This window comes from Homo sapiens, chromosome 13, assembly GCF_000001405.40.
Source record: "Homo sapiens chromosome 13, GRCh38.p14 Primary Assembly".
Classification (NCBI taxonomy): Eukaryota; Metazoa; Chordata; class Mammalia; order Primates; family Hominidae; genus Homo; species Homo sapiens.
The window spans coordinates 89,570,214-89,578,632 of record NC_000013.11 but is presented as its reverse complement, the minus strand read 5'-3'; positions in this window follow the sequence as shown (position 1 = coordinate 89,578,632).

Here is an 8,419-nt window from a genome sequence, read left to right as displayed (position 1 = left end):
GTATCTAATAAAGTTCAAATAAAAATTTTAATAAAAATTAGTTATAATATTCTAAATCATTCTAAGTGATTTTTTTGAAAACTATAAATCTTTATAAAAGTTTGTATAAAAACATTTTTTTTGCATTTTTGTGTTTCCATACCCATCTAGTGGCCAATATGAAAACTATGTCAGACTTTATGCCAGTCATGTTTAGGACACATACATATAAACTTAAGCATAATATTTGATTAATCAACAAAATATTTATCTTTGCTTGAGGAAAAGAGGACAAAAATAAGCAGTATAGAGCCCCTCTGAAATATTCTTCTTCACCAGAATTCATTGTTCAAGAAAGTTTAGTGTTAAGATTGAAAGAAAAATGTGGATCTATTTTCCCTTTCTCCTAATTCAGCTCCTGTTACAGCATCTGGGCTTTCCTTCAGGCTAGACTATAAAACCTGAAAATGGGCTTCCTAGGTTCAACTTTTCATGTCCTTCAAAGAAGTAAAAACATTAATAAAAAAAGGATGTCAATGTACTTCTGTTCTAATGAAAACAAGCATGTGAGTATGACTTATCACGTCTTCCTACTTAATTTATATTAGGGAAAGGGCTTATAGAGAAGAGAGAAATGACCAACCTGTATTGTGATCTTAGCTATATGCAGAAAAATTTTACAACAGCTGCAGACACTATTCTTCTATATCTTTCTCTGAATCAGCTTATTTAGAGAAATGTTTGGTTTAATTGTTATTAAATGCATGAATTCCTGGTCCCTTGCCTTAATTTGGGAGAATTCTACAAGGCCATCTTGGCTCCAGGATTTTGTGGAATTGAGTAAGACCTTTATTATGACTGCACTGCAGTCAATGCCTCTCTCTGATGATTTTTTTTCTTTTATTTTCTCATCGTAGTTGATTCCAAGAGCACTCCCCAATTATACCTTGCACGCAAATATCAGTCTCAGAGTCTGTTCCATAGAAAACCCTGCCTAAGAGAGTTAATGCCTGAAACAATCCAAGGAAACAGACTGTAAAATAGAGTTTGGGTGCTGAGTCATCTACTGGGGAGCTAAGACTAATTATCCCATCACTGGTGGTAGGTGTCCCACTGTCCTTGACATACCATGTGCTACAATTTGTTAAGCTATTTTTTTCCTTTTTTTTTTTTCCCCCTAGTGGTGAAGTTAGATGAGATACCAATGAAAGAGAATGTATTAATGGGTGATGGGAGATGGGTGATGGTTGAACCTAGAGAGGTTAAAGTGCAGGGGTAATGGCAAAGACAATAAACATGAATGCCTTGGAGAAAAGCAATAAAATGATGATGGTGATTAGTTGATCAAATGAGAGCCATCTGTAAAAGTCAGAGGGTCTCTTTTGCAGTATATAAAAAGACTCATTTACTGCAGCAGGTGGGGCAGAAAGTGCTGATGATAAAGCCTAGCACTTAATTTTAAGAGTAGTAGAGTACTAAAGAAGTTTGGATTCTCTTCCTTAGCTAGTCTTCTATACAGACATAAGGCTTTCATTGGAGAAAAGGGGGATCCTGAGACTTGGGATGGCAATGTTTGGATAACTCCACTTGAAAAACCATGTGTTAGGAAAAGGCAATACATAACCAAGTAGGCAGAATGACTTCACCAACTAATGTTGGCCAGCCCAATGCTGGTATGATGGGCAGTTATAATGTATCCATAATACAGCTGTGGAGGATATGGGGTGTGAGTTGGCCCAACACTGTATTCTCTACTCATATAGACTGACCCAATTACTGCTTCTGTTGGAAGTACAACCTGCCAGTACGAGACCCATGCTATATCCTAGTACAGCATCACCACATGAAGAGATCTAATGACAACAACTCAGTCACAATTGATTATGTCGTCCTTCTTGCATTCTACAAGGGGAGTGATATATCTTGACTTAAAATGACACATATTGGGAATCGGCTTTGCTTTTTCTTCTGACATTTCCGTATTGTCTCACATTGCCCCATGCAGAAGCTGCCATCATGAAAGAGTAATTAAATAGACTTTTGAAGCTACATCTTTAGTGCCAGTTTGGAGACAGTGCCCCAAGGATGTAGTGCCATTCTTCAGAATGCACTATAAGCTATACGTCAAATAAGGTTATATAGCACCACATCTTCAATAAATGAAAAGCATCAATTTAGGAACCAAAAGGTAGAAAGAGTAGCCTACTATCTGTCTCCCACTTGACTTCAGGTGATTTGTGATTTCCTTTCTCGTAAGTTTGGACTTTAAAAGTTTGACGTCTTGGTTTCCAGAGAGAAATGGTCCTGTGTAAGAGGATACGTAAAAATAAAATTAAACTTCAAGCTATGGGTGCCATTGAATAACTTTGTGTTCCTTAGGTGAAAAGATCAGTTAGCAAGGAAAGGAGTCATGATCCTGGTAGTGCAATCGACAATGCTAATTTGAAGGGTGTAGGGTGTTGAAAATGGGGGCTAATTTGTTTTACTTAACATAATGTCCCCCAGGTTAATCCATGTTGTTACATGTCAAGATTTCCTCCTTTTTAAAAGCTGACTAGTGTTCCATTATATGTATATACCACATTTTCTTATCCATGTAGCCATTGATGAACATTTAATTGTTTCCATGTCTTGCTATTGTGATCGACGCTTTAATGAACACAGATGTACAAATCTCTCTTTGAGATGGTGATTTTAATTGTTTTGGATAAATACCCACAAGTGGGATTTCAGGATCATATGACATTTCTATTTTTTAATTTTTTGAGGAACTACCGTACTGTTTTCCCTAGTAGCTTCGTTATACTGAGGGAAATAAGCCAGTCACAGAAGGATGAATACTGCATGATTTCACTAACATGAGATATCTGAAATAGCCAAACATACAGAAGCAGAGAATAGAATGGTGGTTGCCAGGTACTGAGGAGAGGAGGAAGGAGGGAATTGCTACGCAACAAGTATAAAGTTTCGGTTGTTCAAGATAATTAAGTTCAAGATATTTGCTATACCTTGTGCCTCTATATAACAATACCATATTGCACACATACAAATTTGTAAAAAGGCAGATATCACGAAAAATATTATTACTACAATAAAAAAATACAGGCAAAGAGTAAAATAGAAAACAACGATGAGGGTAGAGGGGAATATCTTCGGCATTTAGATGACTTACAGAGGTGCTCTTGGTATTACTTGGTTCAGTTTTGATAATAAATGGATGTGTGTAGCATTCACAGACTAAGAAAGTCATGATGATCAGAGATTCAGATCCCCCAAGGCTGATGGTCTGAATCTTGCCACCAGACAAACCCCTTAGATGGTGACAGAAGTCTGGAATGCTTTATAGAAGAAAGAGAAAATGAGCATCACTGGCAGCCTCTAGTTTGTTTCCGCCAACTTCCCTCATATGTTTCCCAGGAAAAGAGAGCAACAATTCTGCAGCTCTTCCTAGAAGTACTCATATAAAGAATACAGAATAAAGCAGTACAAAGCATGAACTATTATATAATGCAAGTCATGGCCTATTATTCAGGTCCCTTCCTGAAGACTTAGGCACTACTTCCTCTGGCTGCTGGGAGTATTGGCAGCTGAGGGCTCAACTGAGATAATGTTGAGGAATTACCTTTGGCTAAAGAGAGTCTCCTCATTCAAGTTTACCTTATCTTCTTGGAACCGTCCACATTCAGAGACTGGATACTTTTTCCTCCAGGCAGGGCCATTTTGAAGGGCCATCTCAATTCCAGAGCTCTCCGTGGGACTGACTGATGAAGCTTCTGTTGTGGGACTGACTGATGAAGCCTCCGTGGTCACTGAACTACAGTTCAAATCCACTCTCTGAGCAATCCTACATCTTTCACTCTCCAATGAACTGCCTGAGTACAAACCTGCCTCCCAGAGTCTGTTTCTAGGGACACTGACCTAAGACAACAAATTGTATATAAGATTAAGTTTGTTCTATTATTTAGCTTTAATTCTGAAGTATACTTGTTTATACTCATTGCAGTTAGTTGCTACTGTAGTATTTTCTTCCTCTAAGTGTTTTTATGAGGAAAAAGTATCAGACATTTTATCCTTTGTGTTTCAAGGCTGATGCTAAATTATCTGTCATTTATTCTGTATTTCTACTTACATAATTAATGAATAAGTTGCCTTTTGGGATTTAGCAGATTTTTTCTCAATTTTTGTTCAACTGTACAGTGTAAACTTAAGTTGAAATCTCAAATAAAAAACAAAGTGGGTTGTTTGACAGTGGACATTGCCCTAATTATTATGACTTTTCCCTAACCAGAAACAGACTGGGTAAAATCCACTTGACTTTAAGTGGATGAATAATCACTCTTCTAAGGTGTTTATACTCTTCTAAGGTGTACTATGGATATGAATAAGACAAGGGATCCTTGATGGGTATCTACCAGTTTGACAGCCTAGTTGCAAGCAAAAGGAAAAAAAATCTGCATATATAATCACAAAAAGCATTTGTTAAAAAGGCATTGAGTGCCTCACCAATTGCCACTTGTGTTTTTGTGTGAGTATGTGTGTGTATGTGTATGTGTATGTAATTTTCTTATTCTCAATCAATTCCTCTAGAATTTTTCTTTTAAGATCCATAAACATTTTAGCCTTTGTGGGCCATACAATCAACCACACTTGCTCAAAACTGCCTTTGTAGCACTGAAGAAATTATAGATAACGTGTAAAAGAAAAAGAAAGAACATGACTCTGTTCCAAGAAAACTGATTACGAAGATAGGTAACAGGACAGATTTGTTGCAAGACCTACTTTACTGACCCCTGCTTAAACAAACAGTGAATTCATTCAACTTTCCAGAGTCAGATTGGAAAGTAAGTCACGATATATAGGGTTAAATAAAACCCATCTGATGTTAATTTATTGTTCGTAGGGCATGACTCTCCAGAACCCCTAGATAGGAATAGGAATTTGGGCAAGATTAAAAATAAAACCAGTTTAGTCCTCATCTCTTTTGTCCACAGATTGTTTGCCTATATATATTTATGTTCTGTTCCCTGGAATATTTCCTCATGAAGGGACTTAGTTTTTTGTTGTTGTTGTTGTTGTTGTTGTTTTTCTGCATATTTTTTGAGAGGTCTGTGGGTTTAAGCAACCTCATAGATCCTTAGAATATTCCATTGTTCCCTTGCAATTAACCTTTCCAGTTTTATCTTCAGATTGCAGAAACACTGTTGAGGCTTTCTTCCTATGTGACAAACCCTCCTTTCAGTGTATGAACTAGTTGGTGATTTTTAAGCTATGTGTTTCTTAGGACTAACAGAAGCCTCTCTTGTCTTCCCTCCTGTAGTTACTGTTTGTTTAACTTTTACATGCACTTCTTTCCTGCCATTGGTGGCTAGGCCCCATCTGCATTAGTTTTTGAGGTGTGTGGCATTACCACACCTAGTTAAGGTGGTTTTTTTTTTTCTTTTTCCACCTTTGTTTCTCCCTTACCTCTGAGGAGATTAGGACAGATTCAAAAGGTATCACAATGATGCCATCTGCCATTTCCTCATCTGTTTTAATAATTACCATACTCTATTGTGTGGTTGATCAAGATGATCTTAATGTTCTTCTCAGCTTGACTCAACTGTAAATAAGCTTCCTTCTGACTACAGGCCACTGACCTCCCTTTTCTTAGATCATTTAAGTACTTTATAAAATTTGCAATTATAAATTTTTGATCTAACCCTTTGAGGTATGATTCTCTTCTTAGCCTCTTAGCAGTTTTACAGCTCAAGACTGTCTTTCTTAAGGACCTGGGAGACATCATTTTGAAATGTTATCGTCAAGAAGGATAGAGCCCCTATCTTCCAGTCTCTGTGGGAGGGTAGAAGTCTAACTTTAGCAAATAGCAGTTAGCAAATACTGTTGGCCTAATCACACTGACCAATTATAATGTCCCCAGTACTTTTCTACTAGGTCAGACCAGCATCAAATACCTGCCCACATTTTGTTTCAGTGGAGTTGAGTTCAATCTCTTTCCCCGATTGCAATAGCTTTGACCTCTATTGCAACAGTCCTGAATAAAGTTTTCCTTTCCTGTTTAACTCTGTCCAGTGCGATTTTTCTTTGACATGTTTGGGTATAGATATATATTTTTTGAGACTGAGTTTCATTCTTGTTGCCCAGGCTGGAGTGGAATGGTGCAATCTCGGCTCACTGCAATCTCCACCTCCTGGGTTCAAGCAATTCTCCTGCCTCAGCATCCAGAGTAGCTGGGATTACAGGCATGAGCCACTGTACCCTGCCGTTTGGCTATAATTTACTCAACCATTACCTTATTATTAGAGACACAGTGGCCACAGTTTTACGTGTATTTGTTTAGTTTTCAGTTTGTTTTGTTTTGTTTTTCTACTTAATATTATAAACTATATTTGAAAACGTAATCTGACAAAAAATTTATTTTCTATGAGATGAAATTAGGAATGCTGATGCGAGAATTATGTGCTTTTGAAATTGCAATTGATGTTAACAAATTACTTTTCTACAATTTTCAAAAATTCCCCTTGAGATGCTTGAATGTGATTACCTCCAATACATTTGATTAATCTTTTCAATATTTTCTCCTTAGATGAATAAAAATATTATCTAGTATTATCCAAACTTACATTTGAATATTCATAATGATGAGTTAGGTTAAATATAAGAGATAAAGAAAGAGGAAAGAAACACAAAATTCAGCTCAATAGTTAAAGATAGATTTACTTTAGATAAAACCTGAGAGGGGCTTCTGGCCAATTTCTGTCAGGAGTGCTTTCTCTTACAGACTAAGAGTATATATTGGTTTTAGGGTGAAGGGGCTTATCACAAGCTTGGAATGTTTATATGTGGGGGAGAAGTTTATGGCAGGGTTGGAATGTCTCTGGGTGGAGGGGAGGTTACCTTGGGGAAGACATCTTTCTGGCCAGAGGGGGGTTAACTCAGGGCTGGCATCTTCCTGGCTGGAAGGGGGTTATCTTGGGGCTAGCATGTCTGTGGTCAGGGAGGAGTTTGGAATGTCTCTGATTGGAGATGTTATTTGTGGTTTATGGTCGTGCTGACCTTAGCTATTAGGCTGATGCCCTTTGGATTTAGGTGGTTTTTTTATTAAGGTGAACTTTAGAATGAGGGGCTTGTTCAAGATGGCGATACTCCTGCTCTGTCATTAAACTGTATCTTTTTTTCCCTCTCAATTTCTTATTGGATTTCTATTATCAAATTTTAAAAATTATTCTACATGTTAATAAACAAAAGTCTGTCATTTATACTGCAAAAATACTCCCCACGTCTCTTGATATATACATGTATTTTGTTCCTTTGTCTTATTTTTTAATTGCATTAAGTCAAGCCATTATTATTTTTTTGTCATAGCTTCCTGATTAACACTTAACTTTTTGCTATTTTATAGCCTAGGAAAGGGAGAGCATCCTTTCATGATGAATAGGAATTTTCCACATTCTACATTTCTGAAAATATAATTAACAAAACAAGGGCAAACTCACAACTAAAAGAAAACCTATAGTTATCGGAAAATATAAAATTAGAATGCATTTTCAATACGTTTGCTATACTTTTTAAATCAGTGGAAAATCCAGAATCATTTAATTCAGAACTCTTTAGTATTTTACTTAATGTAGCTCCTTTTGTGGGTGTTGGTCAAAGTAAAATGTGTGGCATATCAGTTGCTCAGTACCTGCTGTTACTTGTGATTAAGAGACAGACACTGTTCAGAGGAAATTGGCTTGTAATTACTAGAAAGAGCAGGCAATCAACACAAGTATTGTCTTTTTATATTTTAAAGAGAGAGAGAGAATGAAATTAAGCCAGAACCTTTATTTGAACATCACAACTCATTTAACATAAAACTATTTTCACGAAATATCTACCACCCATGGTGATGTCTCCCAGCAATGTCAGCTGTCTCTGTGTTTATAAGAAACTAACCTGAACTTTTATGACCTTACATCATTCTGAAAAATTGCCAGAAAAAAATATAAGGATACTTTAGGCCTTCTTTTCTGTCTCTGGATTGAAATTTTTAAATAATTAGCATATTACTAGATTTAATCAACTTCAGCGACAATGTTTCAATCTTGGGTTTCTTTTCCTAAATTTCCCATATATGGGTTGAATACACCTAATCAAAAATGCTTGGAAACAGAAGTGTTTTGGATTTTGGATTTTTTTAGATTTTGAAATATTTGCAGACACATAGTGAGATCTCTTGGAGATGGCACCAAATCTAAACATGAAATTATGTTTCATATATGCCTTCTACACATAGCCTAAAGGTAATTTTATATAATATTCTTAATAATTTTAGCATGAAACAAAGTTTAACTGCATTTGACTGTAACCCCTCACATGAAATCGAATGCAGAATTGTCCATCTGTAGCATCATGTCGTTGCTTAAAAAGTTTTGGATTTTGGACCATTTCAATTTTGGAT